The following is an 18,819-nucleotide window of genomic DNA, read 5'->3' on the forward strand; positions in this document are numbered from 1 at the left end:
AGAGAGAATATAAATCTATGATCTTAATATCTCTCCCTAATCAATTAATAGGATAAATACCTAATGCATGTGGGGCTTACTACCTAGATGACAGGTTGATAGGTTCAGCAAACCACCATGGCACATGTTTACCTATGTAACAAACCTGCACGTTCTGCACACGTATCTTGGAACTTAAAGCAAGATTTTTAAAAAATAGTAAAAACTAGGCCAAAAATTCTCGGTAAGCACACAGATGATTGGAACAAGGTCAATTATCTTGACCTAACTGATATTTTAGAACATTAAACCTAATAAGTGAAGAATACACATTTTTCAATTACACATGATATACGCACCAAGATAGACCATATACATGCCCATAAAACAAGTCTCAATAAAATGAAAAGCATTAAAACCACAGATTATATTCCCTGACAATGAAATTAGAAGTAACAATAAGATATGTAGGAAAATCCCAAATATTTGGAAATTAAAATGCTTTCATACTGTACCCAAACCAAAGAGGAGATAAGAAAAATTAGAAAATACTTTAAACTGAGTAATAATGAAATACATCAAAAATTGTGGAATACATTGAAGGAAGTGAATAGAGGGAAATTAATAGTGTGTATATGTATACATCATGATTCTATTTGCCAATACAATCTATGGTAGAAAATGCTTATAACAGAAAAGAAGAATAGACTAAAATCAATAGCTAAGGTTCTACTTTAAAAGCTCCAGCTGGGCACAATGGCTCACGCCTGTAATCCTAGCACTTCGGGAGGCCAAGGCAAAAGGATTGCTTGAGCGCAGGAATTTGGGACTAGCCTGGATAACACAGCAAGATCTCATCTCTACAAAAAATTTTTTTAAATAAAAAAAATCAGCTGGGCATGGTGGTGTGCACCTGTAGTCCTAGCTACCAGCGAGGCTGAGCAAGTCTGACTGTGTTTCTTTCTTTTTTTTTTTTTTTTAATAAAGGTAGAGCAAACCAAAACTAAGGAGGAAGAAGAAAATAATAAAGGCAAGAACAAAACTCAACAAAGGACAAAAACAACTGAGGAAATTAACAAAAGCAAAAGTCAACAGAACTGATAATTCCCCAATTTAATCCAGGAAAAAAAATGAGAATATAAATTACCTACATCAGGAAGGATCTAACAAGAGAATATTATGAACTTTACGCAAAAAAATTTCAACAATGTAGAGGAAATGGATACTTCCTCAAAAAATACAATTAACCCAAACATCTATGGCTAATGTTATACTTAATAGTGAAATATTGAAAGTTCCCCCTAAAATTGGGATCAAGGCAAGGATATCCACTGCAACTACCTCTATTTTACGTTATAGTGGAGGTCCTAGCCTTTGCCATGAGGCAAAAAGAATAAAAGACAAAAACTTGCAAAGGAAGAAGTAAAATTATCTCTATTTGCATATGATGTAATTGTTTACAAAAAAGTCTAAAGCAATCTAAAACAACTGTTAGAACTAATAAGTGAATTTAACAGGGTTTCAAGATATAAGGTAAATATACAAAAACAATTGTATTCCTGTATACTAGCAGCAAACAACTGAAAACTAACCAGAACTTTAATTTATAATTGTATTATAAAATAAAATATTCAGGGCTGGGCACAGTGGCTCATGCCTATAATCCCAGCACTTTGGGACCCTGAAGCAGGCAGATCAACTGAGATCAGGAGTTCGAGATTAGCCTGGCCAACATGGTGAAACTGCATCTCTACTAAAAATACAAAAATTAGCTGGGCATGGTGGTGGGCACCTGTTATTCCAGCTACTCAGGAGGCTAAGGCAGAAGAATTGCTTGAACCCAGGAGACAGAGGTTGCAATGAGCCAAGATTGCACCACTGCACTCCCACCTGGGTGACAGAGCAAGACTCCATCTCAAAAACAAAATAAAATATTCAGGAACAAATATAGTCAAAGACATGCAAGACTACTCTACTGATAACTATAAAACATTACTGAGAGAAATTAAGGCATTTAAAATAAATGGAAACATGCCAATTCTACCCAAACTGATCATAGATTCAATGTAATCCAGTGATAATAATCCCAGCCTTTTTTAATTGACAAGCTTGTTATAAAATTTATATGGATTTTCAAAGACTCTAGGATAGCTAAGGCATTTTGAAAAATAACAACAAATTTGGAGTATGTATATTACCTGACTGCAAGACTTACCATAAAGATTAATCAAGAAAGTGTGGTACTGGCTTAAGGATCAAGATACAGATTTATGGAACAGAATACAGCCCAGAAATAGGATGGCACTTACAGGGCCATTTGATTTTTCAAAAGAGGCACCAAAACAAATAGGGAAGAAGGTCCTTTCAACAAATAAAACTGTAATAATCTGATGTTCATACTGGAAAAAAATAAACTGGGTCCCTCTTCACACCACACACAAAAGTCAACTGTAAATGAATCTGTCTCACCCATCACCAGATTCACAGCTGAGGAACCTATAACAAAAGACAGGCTAACAAGAGAAAAGCATACAAATATATTTAAGTTGTATGTGACACAAGAGCCTTCAGAAATGAAGACCCAAAGAAACAGGAAAAACTATGTTTCTATGCTAAGTTTGATGAAGTGGATAGTTGAGAAGCAAAACTGGACAAAAGGGATAGGATTTAATGGTAATAAACTGTGGAGAATTTAGCAAGGCCTGTTTGTTCAGATTCTTCTGGACATCTCTGGGTCTTCAAAGTTCACATAAGGGTCATATGGCCTACTTCAAGGGAAGGTCAACTCTTTTATGGCCTGGGTCAGGGAAGAAGGGCAGGAGAAGTTCAAAGAATGACCTTCTTGCTTCTGTTCTTTCCTCAAATATCAAGTTGTTAGGGTAGTGTGTCTTGAACCCCATCAAATCATAGATCTAAACATAAAAGCTATAATCATAAAGCTTTTAGAGGCAAACATATGAGAATATCTCTGTGACTTAGGGAAAGGCAAAGTTTTGTGACACTGGTCACAGAAAGCCAGAAACATATATAAATTTCATCAGAATTTAAAACTTCTACTCATCAAAAAGCTATTATTGAGACAATTAATAGGCAAGTCATCACATGAATAGGCAATTAACAGGCTAGTGCTCACCATGATTAATCATCAGGGAAATGCAAATTTAAAACATAATGGGTTATGACTACATAGCCACCACAATGGCCAAAATTAAAAGACTGACAATTCCAAATGTTGGTAAGCATAGAGCAACAAGAACTCTAACACCGTGTTGATGGGAGTGTAAGAGTTAGAAACATTTTGGGGAAAATATCTGGCAGTTCCTTACAGATCTTAACCTATATTCCTACCCTTATAACCCAGCAATCCAATCCCAGGTATTTACTCATGAGAAATGAAAACATACATCCACTACAAGACATGTATAAGAACATTCATGGCAGCTTTACTCATTATATCCCCAAATTGGAAACAGCTCAGGTATATCCACCAATAGAACAGACAACTTGGTATATTCACACAATAAAATACCACTCAGTAATAAAAAGACATGAACTACTGATAAAAGCAACAACATGAATGAATCTCAAAAATATTATGCTGAGTGAAAAAAGCCTTTCACAAAAGAGTATACATATACTGTATGATTCCATTAAGCAAATGAAATCTATGGTAGAAACATTAAAACTCTGGGGCAAGTGGGGCAGGGATTGAGTGAGAAGGAGCAAAAGGGAACTTTCTGGGGTGATGGTAATGTTCTAGAACTTCATTGAGGCTCAAGTTACATGGGTGTACGTGTGCGTTAAAATTCAGTGAATGTACACTTAAAATTTGTGTATTTTCCTGCATGTAAATTTTGCATCAAATGAAAGCAAATTGTAAATATATATTTATCTCTGATTGATACCCATGTTGAAGCATTTGAGAGAAATAAGGTATTTGAAACGCCTCAAAAATTAGGTTGAGAGAGAAGCAGATGAGTGGATAGATTAAGAAAGCAAGCATAATAAACTGTTAAGGTAAAATTAGGTGGTGAGTATACAGGGGCTCATTACAAAATTCTTTTAAGTATGATGTATATTTCAAAAATTTACAATAAAATATATATTATAATAGATATAGATATTATTATAATATTTATAATAAAATTATTATTTGGGGAAATTCAGTGCATATACACTTAAGACTTGTGCATTTTATTGAATTTAAATTTCATAACAAAAGAAGAACTAAACAAATATTGAACTCTGGGTAATGACAGGTAACGCAGAAGAATTTAAAAGTGACTGCAATTTTTTTTGAAATATGTCAACATTTAAAAGGATAGTTAGATCAGTGCTCAAACAAGAACCATAAAATGTTTTTTTTGTGTTTTTTTTTTATTTGCTTTTTTTGACCCAGGCTGGAGTGCAGTGGCGCCATCTTGGCTCACTGCAAGCTCCGCCTCCGGGTTCACGCCATTCTCCTGCCTCAGCCTCCTGAGTAGCTGGGACTGCAGGCGCCCACCGTCACGCCCGGCTAATTTTTTGTATTTTTAGTAGAGACGGGGTTTCACCATGTAAGCCAGGATGGTCTTGATCTCCTGACCTCGTGATCCGCCCGCCTCGGCCCCCCAAAGTGCTGGGATTACAGGCGTGAGTCACTGCGCCTGGCCATAAAATGTTAATGGTAGAATCTAGATGGTGGGTATATCTGTTTTTATTGTAAAATTCTTGTATTTTTGTTGTTTGAACATTTTCAAAATAAATTGTTGAGGAAAAAAAACTCAGTGAGGGTGTAGGGCCTCTATTACTAAATGAAGGAAGAAAAAATCGGTACTGGGACTAATTAACAGCCTGCCCCAGTGAATAATGTTTACCTACTGAGCGGTCCATTCTCACCCATTCCCTCCTATCCCACCTCTGTGAGTTCAATTCTATCCTCAAAGAGTCATTCCTTTAACTTAAGCTTTGACCCTTGTTGAAATTCAAATACAGTAGTTTGATAATTCCTTATTGCCTCCCTTGGATTATTTTCCTCCAGTCCCCTAGAACTCGGTCTTATTCTTTTCTCTCCCTAAGTGACCAGCAGTCACAATTAACATGCATCTGGCTCCCAAGCATTCACTTCCCTTGCTACAGTTGCACATGTCCACATGATTCATAGATAGTTCCTTGGAACTATATCACTGCCACCTCAAAGCCAGTATTCCCTTTTTTTTTTCCTTTGGAAACAGGGTCTGGATCTGTTGCCCAGGCTGGAGTGCAGTGCTGTAATTATAGCTCACTGCAGCCTCAAACTCCTGGGCTTAAGCGATGCTCCTGCTCCAGCCTCCTGAGCAGCCAGGACAACAGGTGTGTGCCACTACATCCAGCTAATTATTTTATTTTTTGTAGAGATGGGCTCTTGCTATGATGCCCAGGCTGGCCTCCAACTCCTGGCCTCAAGTGACCCTCCCATCTTGGCCTCCCAAAGTGCTGGGATTACAGGCATGACCCACAGTTCCTGGTCAAGGCCAATATTTTCAAAACCAAAACTCTCTTCCCTCCTAAACCCTCTATATCTGTTATTAGTACCACCGTTATTCCTAGGATACAGATTTACCTCATTCATTCATTCAATAGTTATTGGGTTTTACTTTGAAATCCCTCTGCTAGAAGTAGATGGACAAAGTGGACATAATCCCTGCTCTTTCAAGGCTTACAGTTTATTACAGTCTAGTTGCTCCTTCCCTCCTTTATCCTTTCCATGTTTAATGAATAAACAGTAATCATGTTATTGCCTGAGAGAAAGGAGAGGGCTCCAGGAGTCAGCAATTAATTATCACCCAGGTTACACTGGGCTATCCACCCATCACTCCTATGTGCATGGCCCTTCAGGCCCAGTGGTTTGGTTACTTCTGCATCCTGCTTAGGGCATTCTAATAGTTTCTGAAGCTGCCTATGTTTCATTCTGCTGTATATCCCAGTCTGCCTGGGACGGTGCTAGTTCATGCTTATTGTTGCAGTGTAATTAACAGTGCCCCCTTTCTCTGTCAAATGTATCCTGGTTTGGCCAATAAATTTTGTGACCACCCACTCCTGAACCACACACAAACATTTCTAATCTGAGCACTTACTACTTATTCATGCAAGCCAGCAGGCCAGTGGAGCCCCTCTGTTTCCAGAAACTGGTAGATTTTAGGGTGTTAGGGAGCACTAGCTCTTCTCCTCTGTTCTTCTAAGAGGGATCATCTGTCCTAGGGAATTTCCTTTGCCTAAGAGTTTGGACTTTTAAACATAAAAGCCATAAAGGGTTGCAGCCTCCTCCTAGTTTCCCCATTCAGCCAGATCCCTTGCCCTAGATAGGGGGAGGAAAAGAATTTAGAGAAAAGGCCTGACTTACGATCTCAAAATATCCAAGATTTAGAACCCAGTTATTCATATACATGCTCTCTTCTAATCACTAAAAGGTCTTAAAAGACATAAGTTTCCTATTTCCTTTCTAAAAACCTACACTCTTCTCTCCTCTTTCCCACTGTAAAAACGAAGCAAGAAAAAAAAAAAATTCGCAAACTGGACAGCCCTCAGAATTACAGATTTGGAGCAACTCGAGCAATGCAACGTGGGCAGAGCAAATTTATGGACAGAAAAAGGAAGGTGACATATAGAAAACGGAAGTGAGGTACAGAAACAGCCAGACTGGTTACAGCTCAGCCTTTGCCTTATTTGGACACAATTTGAACAGTTGGCCGCCTGTGAGTGGACCCTATTCTTCTGCCTCAGGATTGGCTAAGACTCAGCTCTTATTACATACTCCTAAATCAGGTTCATAGTTTGTCTACCTACCAAGGTAGCTTACGGTTTATCCATAAGGACTCAACTATGTGAGTACAGAGACTTTCTCAGGCCAGATTTTAGTTTGATTTAACAAGGGTAAGCTCATTAAATGCTTGTTGAAGTTACAAATATTAGCTATTTGCACCTACTGTGCTTGAGTTACAGTTCTTTTCCTAAGTACCGTACAGGTCTAGACAAAAAGAAAGCAGCTAGGTATCTAAGAGATTAAAAAGACCTAGATGAGAGAATGTACAATTCCACAGGGCAGCAAAAATAAACTTTACTTGGTTTACATTTGCCCAACTGCATATGGCCCCATCTCTTAGCTTTCACACTGTATATAATTCTGTACAGGGATAGAACCAAGTTTTCCCCTTTTTGTTCACTCATTGCCTCTCATTGCATCATGAACAAATGCATTGCATCATGAACAATGCCTCTCATTGTTCACTCATTTGTTCACTCATTGCATCATGAACAATAGTGCCTGAGATGCTTACTTCAGAATTGAGACAGGCAATTGGGCCAAAACCTGTTGAACCTCAGTGAATATAAAACATGAGTGGCAGAAAAGAGCAAAGGAAGGGAGGAAGGAAGGAGGGAAGGAGGGAAGGAAGAAAGACAAAAGAAAGAGCATCCAAATAGAAAGAAGTCATATTATCCTTATTTGCTGGTGATAAAATCTTATATTTGGAAAAACCTAAAGACTCCACCAAAAAACTATTAGAGCTGATAAATTCAGTCAAGTTGAAGGATACAAAATCTACACAAATCAGTAGCATTTCCATATGTCAACACTGAACTATCTGAAAAAGAAATCAAGAAAGTAATCTCACAATAGGTACACATAAAATAGGAATTAATCAAAAAATGAAACATCTCTATGATGAAAACTATAAAACACTGATGCAAGAAATTGAAGAGGACACAAAAACATTGAAAGACATTCCATGTTCATGGACTAGATCAATATTGTTAAAATGTCCATACTACCCAAAGCACTCTAGAGAGTCACTGCAATCTCTATAAAAATACCATTGACATTCTTCATAGAAATAGAAAAAAAAAATTCTAAAATGTATATGCAACCACAAAAGATCCAAAAGAGCCAAAGCTATTCTGAACAAAAAGAATGAAACTGGAGGAACATTACCTGACTTCAAATTGTGCTACACAGTTATTATAACCAAAACAGCACAGTATTGGCATGAAAACAGACCCATAGACCAATGGAGCAGAATGGAGAACCCAGAAATAAATTCATACATCTACAGTGAATTCATTTTCAACAAAGGTGCCAAGAACATACATTGGGGAAAGGACAATCTCTTCAATAAATGGTGCTGGGGAAACTGGATATCCATATGTAGAAGAATGAAACTAGACCCCATGTCACTATATACAAAAATCAAATCAAAATGGATTAAATAGTTAAATCTAAGACCTCGAACTATGAAACTACTACAAGAAAACAATGGGAAAACGCTCCAGGACATTGGACTGGGCAAAGGTTTCTTGAGTAATATCCCTCAAGCACAGGCAACCAAAACATGAGCGGGACTTTTAGGGTGCACTACTCTCAACACCTGAGAAGCAAAACTATGAAAATAAAAGCAAAAATTCCCCCGACCCAACCCCTCCTGGTCTCCTAGTCATTCTTCAAGTTCTGAGTCAATTTATGCCTATGATTTTAAAACACAGGTTTTGTAGCCAGACGGACTACATTCAGACCCAGATTCACTATTATCCTTTGCCTTAGTTTGATAATCTGTAAAATGGGGCTAATCTCTCTCGAGGCTATGCTGAGGATCAGATGACTGCCAAATATAAAGTATTTATATGGTGCACCGTATAAATACTTTGCACCAACCTTATATATCTTAAGCACCTCGTCAATGGGTGCTGTCATCATATTTGCCAAGAGTTATCCCAGGTGGGAGTGATAGAGCAGTGAACAAAACAGACACAGCCGCTGGCCTCCTCCAGGTGCACACAGCCTTCCAAAAATAATATTAATTAAATAAAGCATTGTAACAACACTGACTTAAACTCCTCTGGTCGGGACTGCCCTGTGACTATGTCTGGAATATGTCTAAATTAGCACCCACAACTGTTTTATAAGTCTTCAAAGCCTGTCTCCTCCCAGGCCTTGAACCCCTGGGCACAGAGACCAGCGGCTGATCCCTACCTTTGGGCGCTCGCCCCTGCACTGTGCCTGGCCCTCAGCAGGCCCTACCGACTGTCCTTGCTGACAACAGGAGGAGGGCTGTTGGCGGCACTGACAAATCAAGCGGGTGTCGGACCTCAGCGCCTAGAGGGAGTGCTCTGTCTCCCTCCTTTCCGCCCGGTCTCAGTCTCCCGCCCGGATTCCCTCCCACCGGCAGTAGCCAACAGCCTGTCCCAGCCTTGACCCCATCCATTCTCTCAGCTTACTCTCAGGGTCCGAAACGTGAAAAGGCCAGCAGCTTAGCAAGGTCTCCGACCTCTGTTCCACTCGCCCTCGCCCTCCTTGCTGCTGCGCCTAAAAGCAATCCCAGGCCCACCGCGCCCGCCCACGCTGGCTTCCCCCAGACACCCCCGGCTGCGATTCCCCTACCAGACTTGGCAGTTCCCCAGGGTGTTCGCATTAGCGCCAAGGGGAAACATTCGTTGTTAATTACGTTGCTTCTTAATGATGAGCGTCTGCCGGGCGGCTCCTCTCAGAAGAAAGGCAAAGTGTTCGGAATCGCAACATTTCTGGCCCTGAGCTCTGGAAGGATCGAGCTCCGCTACGGGCCCAGGGCTGAGAAAACGCGCGACCCCGGGGGTCCGTCCACCTCTTCAGGGAACCCACACATTCCACAGATCTCTGTGAAACAGAAAAAGTGTTCCTTCTGAAGACCAAGGGCGTCCCTACAAGATAGATTCTGTCCTCTTCCCTTTGGCTTCTTGGTGAGGGCGACCCTCTCTGCTGAGAGCGCTTCCCTCCAGCTCGCCACGGAGGACGCTGTGTAGCAAAGAAAGGTCCCTCTTCACTTGTGTGAGTTTGCTAACAGTGCACGCAAGGCTTCTCGGGTGAAAGAGGCCTGAGCCACTTCTTTTGAAGCCCTAAATGTATTTTTTAAATGAAGACATGCCAAACAGCTACAAAAAGTTGTAATTGTGCTGTATTTTAAAGCTCCGCCTTGATTACCAGTGTTGTTTACACGCATGCAACTGTAATGACTGCCTGCATAAGCTCATCTGGAGATAAGGCCTAAAGGCCGTATGTGAGGCCCCTGATGGACATGAGGCCAGGATCAAATAGCTCTTCTCCTCTCCCCTCTGAGACGAGCTCTGTGACTGCAAATACACAGGGAGGGGAGGGGAAGTGGCCTGAGAGAGGCGGCGGGAGGAGAATTAACCCTACAACAGAGACAGTGAGGTTTAAAAAAAATAAGTGGACTTGAGAACTGGGTTCATATTGGGTGCCGGTGAGGATACTTCACCTCCTTCTTGCCTCATTACCCATCTGTAAGCTAAGGAATGTTGAAAGAGGCTTTGTTCTCCAAAAAAGATAAAAACAGTTCTAAGGAGAAAAGAGGCCATGGGCCGGGAAGCAAGAATGCATTGCTAAGAGCACCCTGAAGATGTTTCTTTCCTCCTTCTTGCCTCCCTCCTCCTCCCTGAGATGGAATCAAAATGCTTTAACAGGCAGTTGACGAAGAACACGATTCATCCCAACCAAGTGGAGAGTTTTTCTTGTGTTTGATATTTATTAAAATCTTGGAATTCCACACTTCATCCATTTTTCCCATGGCTTCCCTTCATGCATAAACAGCAAAAAGGATGCTGCTTGTTACATAAACTTGTCAGGCTGCAAAAGCCCAACATTCTGTTTTCTCCCTAAGTGGGGTGCGGGAGGAAGCGTGTGTTTATTATGTATTACAAAGAGCTTTGCACTACCTAAAATCAAAGTAATTAGGTAGTGCGAGTCAAAAATAGTTTTGAAATGTTATAAATAAAGTGACAAAACACTTCTTTAGATTTCTGAGAAATGCATTCCTGACAATATTGCTCCTGCTCTCTCTGCATTTGCTATTAGAAAAGAAAGGCCTTCTTTCTCAGTCTATCTTTGCACCATCACCTGGACACCCTCCGAGATGAGTCACAGGCAGAGGAAATTATCGTGATTGCATATTGTTTAGTCTCTAAACTTCAGCTGCTTCCTGGGCAACCCAGTTGCCTGCAATTTAACCTGCCTGGATGGATGAGCTCATTAATGAGCCGCCCCACAGGCTTTCTCGATTGGCTCTTCTCCAGACCCTAGTTCTCTTTCTTCACCCAGTGGTCACTGGTTCACCAGCCTTCCTTGTGTGATGAAGTAAGTCCTCATCCCACTCTCACTGCGCTCCTCCCTCCTTCTGGAGGAGACCTTAGAAAGGGTGGCAGGAGCAGTCATTTCAAGCATCCAGTGGAGCCTGCACTTTTCACAAAGGCCACCCTTTCTCCAGGATGCTACCAACTTCTCAATGCCCTCCTCCCGGGTTCCTTGGGAGGGAGGGGAATCAAGTCAGCAATTCTTCTTTCTTCCTCCTTTCTTCGCCAAGAGGCTGCTTCCCCATCGTGGGTCAGCGCCAGCCTAGTAGGGAACCCTGAATTCCTCTCATTGTTTTCCCCCTTACAGAGAAGCAGAGTGGCCCCAGACGGTGGGAAGCCCTCCTAGGAGTCTCATTGAGGACTCTCACAGCTACCAGTTGGGGATTGGGGGTGAGGGGTGGGGACAGATGGAAAGCCTTGGGTTTTAATGTTTATATAAGAAACAGCAATTCAGGCTCTCCCTCGCCCATGTGTCCTGTGGTGAGTGTGTCTCTAGGGAAAATCCTGGTATTTGCTTTCCGGTTTAAAAAAATTTAATTATCAAGATCCTGACTTTTTGTGCCTTGGCTTCCTGCTTTCTAAGAAAGCCAAAAGCACTTGGATTAAATAAAATTAAGTCCAGACTTCCTTTTGTGGACCCCAAGAGAACACTGCTCCTCTCCTCTCGGCCAGGTCTCTTCGCAGTGTGCTCCACCCTATCTTTATCTCTTATTTTTTCCTTTTTGCTTCCCTTCCTGCCTTTCCAACCACCTTATTTAATTGGCTTCTGGGTCTTTTTTTTTTCTTTTTCCATTTTTGCCACTCTTGAACCCAATTTTATCCTTGACGCTATTTCAATCAGCTTCAGCCAGGAGCTAGTAGTGAAGAAAATCTTGGCCAAAATTGAGAAGTGCTGCTTGTTTTTAACCTAACCTCTATCAGAGTCTTCTAGCGGTCAAGAGCACCTCAAGCCACTTCTTTTTACAGAGGATCCCGGAACCGCTTTTTAAAAAAAATTTTGATAAATGCCAAAAAGTCACACAAACTGTAGAATATCTTAGGTGTTTACACTAAAAAATTGTCCCTTAACACACACTCACAAAACAATGTAACTAAAGATGTCATGTAAGTCTAAATATGAAGCTCCTTGTGAATTTGGGACCCCAGTCAAAACCTCTGATGTCCATTTCCCCCTGAAGAACCTTGTGGCCCACATATTGCTCTTCTTGTCTTGGCTCAACTAGCTACTGGGGAATTTGAGCAGCAGGGCAGTACTGATTCCTCTGTTGCCAGTCCTCTCCCCTGCCTGGGCAGTCTGAGACCCCCTCTCCCCCAGTAGGGCACTCAGTTGAAAACGGTGGCTTTCTACCTTCAGGTGTCCACCGATGACCAGATGGTGATTGTTAATAACGTTATTCTTTTAAAACCATGACTGGTTTTCCAACCCCACACACGAGGGTGTTTTTAAATTAATTGATTTTTAACTCTGTTTTTAAATGAATAAAAGTGTTTTAGAATTAGCATCATTTGAAAGAACAGCAGATCCAATTGTTGGAACTGAGTGATAGGTACTCAGGAATCACTGTGCTGGACTCTCTACTTTCATGTATGTTAGACATTTCCATAACAAAAATAAAATATAAGTAAGATGCTCTTGGATCTAAATTTACTCTAAATACTAGCATTAAGAATAAAATGTTCTGGACTGGGTGCTGTGGCTCACTCCTGTAATCCCAGCACTTTGGGAGGCCGAGGTGGGTGGATCAATTGAGGTCAACAGTTTGAGACTAACCTGGCCAACATGGAGAAACCCTATCTCTACTGAAAAAAAAAAAAATCCCAAAGAATTAGCCAGGTGTGGTGGTGCACACCTGTAATCCCAACTACTGAGGAGGCTGACGCAGGAGAATCGCTTGAACCCAGGAGGTGGAGGTTGCAGTGAGTAGAGATTGTGCCACTGCACTGCAGCCTGGACAACAGTGAGACTGCATCTCAAAATAAAATGTTCTGAATTAATTTCTCTTTGTAAGTTGAGAGAAAAACCTTTACCACTATTTCCTAAATAAAACTTTTGTCTGGCTTTCTGGGGGTATGTTTGTGTGTGTGTTTGAGGTTTGTTTAGCACAATCTGAGATATAGGATCCAGATGATGATGATTTTGAGACAGTGTCTCGCTCTGCTGCCCAAGGTGGAATGCAGCGGCATAATCACGGCTCATTGCAGCCTCAGCCTCCTGGGTAGCTGAGACCACAGTTTTGTGCCACCATGCCTGGCTAATTTTTTTTTTTTTTTTTTTGAGACAGGGTCTCCATATGTTGGCCAGGCTGGTCTCAAACTCCAGGACTCAAGCAATCCTCCTGCCTCAGCTTCCCCAAGTGCTACAGGCATGAGACACCATGCTGGGCTAGCGAGACCCATTTTATTATTAAACTATGTTTTTTTAATGTTAAAAATATTATAATTGTTTTAAAGAAGTTGACTTCATTGAAAAACATTTATTAAGACTTACTAAATGTGAAGCTGTAACAAATAAGATGTAAGAAAAATAATTATAGACTTACTGGTACATTTGGAGTAGCACTGTTAAGTAGCAAGAAAAGCTCAGGAGAGCAGACTCCAATCAGAGGAAGAGGCAATAGGAACGGTTTTTCAGAGAAGCTGGCCTTTAAGCTACGCCTTGAAGGATAAGAGAAATTTCACCAGACTAGACAAGTAGGAGGAGGTGGAGTTATTCCAAGGAGGAATGGTGAGAGTTCAGGCCCCAAGATAAGTGTCTAGCATATTTGAAGTTTGCTAAGCACAGCTGTGTGTACGTGCAGGATGTGCATTTGCCTGGGAGAATGCTGGGGGCAGTGGAAAGACCAAGATGAAGGCAAAGTTCTGAATGTGTCTCCCCAAATTCCTATGTTGAAACAATCCCCAATGTGAGACTATTAACAGGCAGCCTTTTGGGAAGTCAGGCTCAGTTCTCATGAATGGGATGAGTGCCTTTATAAAAGAAGCTGAAGGCAGCTCATTTACCCCTTCCACCATGTGAGGATGTAGCAACCAGGCACTATCTATAAGGCAGAGAACAAACCCTTACCAGTCACCAAATCTGCTTCCACCTTGATCTTGGACTTTCCAGCCCTCAGAACTGTGAGCTATAAATTTCTGTTTATCAGTTACCCAGTCTACAGTGTTTTTGTTATAGCAGCACAAACAGACTAATACACTGTATTAATCTGTTTTCACACTGCTATAATGAAATACCTGAGACTGGGTAATTTATAAAGGAAAGAGGTTTGATTGACTCACAGTTAATGAGTCAGGCCTCCGCATAGCTGGGGAGGCCTCAGGAAACTTACAAACATGGCAGAAGGCAAAGGAGAAGCAAGTACCTTTTTCACAAGGCAGCAGGAAGGAGAGAAGAGCAGGGGAAACCAGCACTTATAAAACCCTCAGATCTCATCAGAACTCACTATCAGGAGAACAGCATGGGGGAAACTGCCTCCATGATCTCATCACTTCCCACTAGGTCCCTCCCTTGACACGTGGGGATTACAATTCAAGATGAGATTTGGGTGGGGACATAGAGCCAAACCATATCAGATACCATGCTAAGAAGTTGAAGCTTTACCTTTTAGGCCAGTAAGTCTGGGGTGGGGCCCAGGAATCTGCATTTATCAAGTTCTTTAGGTGATTTTTATGCAGGTGGTCTGGAGATCTCGCTGTAATAAATACTGTTTAGAGGGGCTCTGTTATAGATAAATGAAATTTATAGAAAGTGACAGAAGACACATTTTTATAAAATGGTAGGCATGGTATTAAGTGTGAAGCACCAAAAAGACATAAAACTTGAACCCAGTCCTCAACACATAATTAAAGTAGGCTGATAAGATTTACTACAGCCACTAGGTATGGTTGTGCAGGCTGTGCACTGCACCACAATGCCATCTGAGAAGGTACTGTTCACATTTTAGGCATCATAGATTTGTGTATTTGTTACAGTTTTTGGCAGATAAGTCCAATGTCTTATTCTAATAAAAAGAGGATACTACAGCAATTTTTCAACAGATGGAAATAAAGTGTCTTGAGGAAGGTAGTGGTATATTGTTATATTAATGGCTCCAGTGAATCACATTTCCTGGTATCGACACCCTTCTTTGGTCCTCTGCTATATTAACTCTGAGCCATTGGGAAATCAGCAAATGTGACACGGCAGACTTTGCAGAATTCCCAATGATCAAAGCCAAGTTCTCCGTGATTTTTCTGGACTTTCCCTTATCATCAAAGGATGGCTGCTGCTGATCCAAACAGCTATAGGCATCACATCTGCATTCAAAGTAGGTAGAAAAGGAGCAGTGTAGGCAATGCCAACCAGAGTGTCTTTTCTCTCTTCTCTTCTCTTTTTTCTTTTGACAGAGTTTTACTCTGTTACCCAGGCTGAAGTGCAACGAAGCAATCATAGCTCATTGCAATTTCAAACTCCTGGGCTCAAGTGATCCTCCTGTCTCAGCTTCCCAAGTAGCCAGAAGTATGAGGTGTGTACCACGCACCTGGCTAATTTTTTTTGTATTTATAAAGACGGGGGACTCACTATGTTGCACAAGCTGGTCTCAAACTCCTGGCCTTAAGTGATCCTCCTCCTTCTGCCTCCCAAAGCACTGGGATTACCGGTGTGAGCTACCATGCCCAGCCCCAGAGCTGCTTTTATTAGAAAAGCAAATTTTTTTCCAGCAACATTCCAGCAGACTTTCATTTATATCTCATTGATCTTCATCATTTGGCCATTGTTAGCTGCAAGGGAGTCTGGAAAATGGAATATTAACTTTTCCAAGCCTCTGTAGTAAAACATGACAAGGAAATGGGAGTTTAGGAAAGGATATTGGGTTGACTAAACAGCAGTGCCTGCTGTGGAACTTTTAATCATGCATCCCATACATAGCCACGCTCCTATTAATACCACTGTGTTAGGCCATTCTTGCATTGCTAGAAAGGAATACCTGAGGCTGGGTAATTTATAAAGAAAAGAGGTGTAATTGGCTCAATTTCTGCAGGCTGTACGAGCATGGCACCAGCATCTGCTCAGCTTCGGGGGAGGCCTCAGGGAGCATTTACTCATGGGAGAAGGTGAAGCAGGAATGGGTGTGTCACATGGTGAGAGTGGGAGTGTGATGGGGGGAGGTGCCACACTTTTACATAACCAGATCTCCTGAGAACTCACTATTGCAAGGACAAGCCATGCAGGATCTACCTTCATGACCCAAACACCTCCCATCAGGCCCCACATCTAACACTGGGGATTGCATTTCAACATGAGATTTGGGGGGACAAATATCCAAACTATGTCAATCACAAATGTATACAACATGGAGACTGGAAGCTGCTAGCCAATTTCCAAGCTTTATCTTACAATTCAAAGGGAAGAAATTATCTCCAAGCCATTGATTTATTCAACAAATATTTACTGAGGATAATTCTACAAGTTAGACATTGAGCTAGGCTTTGAAATACCATCCCTGAGATTCAGGAATGGACCTACTGTTCTGCAGGACGAAGAATTCAGCCTCCCTGTAGGCCTGGAGAGAAGGGATAAATATTGCCAACAGCCTCTCATTTCACTGTAACTTCCGTTTTCACATCTGTTTCATTTATCTTTTCTTTTTTTTTTTTTTTCTTTTTTTGAGTCAGTCTTGCTCTGTCATCCAGGCTGGAGTGCAGTGGTATGATCTCGACTCACTGCAACTTCCGCCTCCTGGGTTCAAGCTATTCTCATGCCTCAGCCTCCTGAGTAGCTGGGATTATAGGTGTGCGCCACCATGCCCGGCTATTTTTCGTATTTTTAGTAGAGACAGGGTTTCGCCATGTTGGCCAGGGTGGGTCTCGAACTCCTGACCTCAAGTGATCCACCCACCTCCGCTTCCCAAAGTGCTGGGATTACAGGTGTGAGCCAGGGTGCCTGGCCTTCATCTATTTCCTCTTTTAACTTCCATTTCCATTCCCATTTTCCTTGTATCAGTTAGCTTTTGATGCAATAACTAACCATCCTGAAACTTTGTAGCTTAAAACAACAGTCACGTATTGTTACTCACAAGTCTGCAGGTCAAGTGGCTGGTTCTTCTGATCTGGGCCAGGCCTGGCTGATCCCAGCTGGGTTTGCTCATGTGTTTGCAATTCATCAGTGGGTCAGCTGAGGGCACTTAGCCTAGGATGGCCTCACTCACATGTCTGGTGGTTGGTGCTGGCTGTCAGCTAGGGCAGTGGGGTAACAGGGCCACGTGTCACTCGTTCTCCAGCAGGCTTGCTGAGGCTTATAAATAAGGTGGTTGTTACGGGATTCTCAAGAGTAGGAAGAGTAGGCAAGCCCTAATGTGCTAGGACTTTTCAAGTTTCTGCTTGTGTCATATTTGCTACCTGTTCCATTGATCAAAGTAAGTCACAAGCTCGGCCCAGATTCCAGAGATCGAGAAATAAAGTCCATCTCATGATAGGTGGAGCTGCAATCACACTGCAAGGGCAAGAGAGCAGGGAAGGGAAGAATTTGTGCTCATTTTGTTAACTCCCACACTTCTTTTCTTCCACTACATAGGACACCAAAAATTCGTTAAGCTGGTTAATGATCTTTGAGGCCAGGTGCAATTCACTTCTATCAAACATTGGTTATAGTGCCTCTGCACTATTAGGGGAAAAAAATAATAAAAGGCCTGGCGTGGTGGCTCACGCCTTTAATCCCAGCACTTTGGGAGGCTAAGGTGGACAGATTGCTTGAGCTCAGGAGTTCAAGACCAGCCTGGGCAACATGGCAAAACCCCGACTCTACAAAAAATACAAAAATTATCCAGCTGTGGTGGCATGTACCTATAGTCCCAGCTACTTGGGAGGCTGAGGTGGGAGGATTGCTTGAGCTCAGGAGGTGAAGGTTGCAGTGAGCTGAGATCATGCTACTGAACTCCACAACAGAATGAGACCTTGTCTCAAAACAAAAAACAAAAAACAAAGCCTGAATTATCCACCACCAACTCCTAAGCCACTGGCTGTCAACATTTATGAACTAAGACCCATTAGCAAGAAATTTATTTTACAGTATCCAGAATATACATGTACACATTTTTTTTTTAGAAAAATAAGTTATGGGCCAGTTGCAGTGGCTTACGTCTGTAATCCCTGTAATCCCAGCACTTTGGGAGGCTGAGGCGGGCAGGTCCCTTGAGGTCAGGAGTTTGAGACCAGCCTGACATGGTGAAACCCCATCTCTACTAAAAATACAAAAATTAGCTGGGCATGGTGGTGCATGCTTGTAATGCCAGCTACTTGAGAGGCTGAGGCAGGAGAATGGCTTGAACCTGGGAGAGAGAGGTTGCAGTGATCCAAGATGGTGCCACCGCACTCCAGCCTGGTGACAGAGCGGTACTCCATCTCGAAAAAAAAAGAAAAGTAAGTTGTGACCCACTAAATTAATTCACCACCCACTAATGGGTTATGATCTGTAGTTTGAAAAGCATTTTCGTAAGCTAAGGCCAGGAACACCACTTTTCTAGGAAAAGAGAACAGCAGGTTCCCTTTGAGGGGTTCAATAAAGAGCCTGAGTTTGGAGCTTGCAGGATCAAAAGAAGACCAGCATGTGGGGAGTCTACTGAATGGGAGATGAGGCGGGAAATATAGACAAGGGTCTGCCAGGAAGGTCTGCAGGTTGTGGCGGGGCATTCGGGACTCACTCTTCAAAAAAAATAAAAATAAAAAATAAAG

General features: G+C 41.8%; 1 long non-coding RNA gene across 3 annotated transcripts in view, besides 1 other annotated feature; it reads right to left on the reverse strand.

Moving 5' to 3' along the window:
• SHROOM3-AS1 (SHROOM3 antisense RNA 1) overlaps positions 1 to 9,777 on the reverse strand; it is a 92,558-nt gene extending 82,781 nt beyond the window's left edge. For 2 of the 3 annotated variants that reach the window (NR_187405.1, NR_187404.1), the window contains exon 1: positions 9,371 to 9,777. This is a non-coding gene — a long non-coding RNA (SHROOM3 antisense RNA 1). Of the gene's footprint in view, positions 1 to 9,207; positions 9,304 to 9,370 lie in introns of those variants that run through there. The other variant, NR_187406.1, reaches the window with a different exon arrangement.
• Positions 8,562 to 9,352: an enhancer, noted in NCBI's record as "H3K27ac-H3K4me1 hESC enhancer chr4:77722401-77723191 (GRCh37/hg19 assembly coordinates)". NCBI's record gives its function as "activates a minimal SCP1, AML or CMV promoter by ChIP-STARR-seq in naive H9 embryonic stem cells {active_cell/tissue: H9 hESC(naive)}" and the evidence as "EXISTENCE:reporter gene assay evidence [ECO:0000049][PMID:30033119]".
• Positions 9,778 to 18,819: the final 9,042 nt, after the last annotated feature.

This window comes from Homo sapiens, chromosome 4, assembly GCF_000001405.40.
Source record: "Homo sapiens chromosome 4, GRCh38.p14 Primary Assembly".
Taxonomy (NCBI): domain Eukaryota; kingdom Metazoa; phylum Chordata; class Mammalia; order Primates; family Hominidae; genus Homo; species Homo sapiens.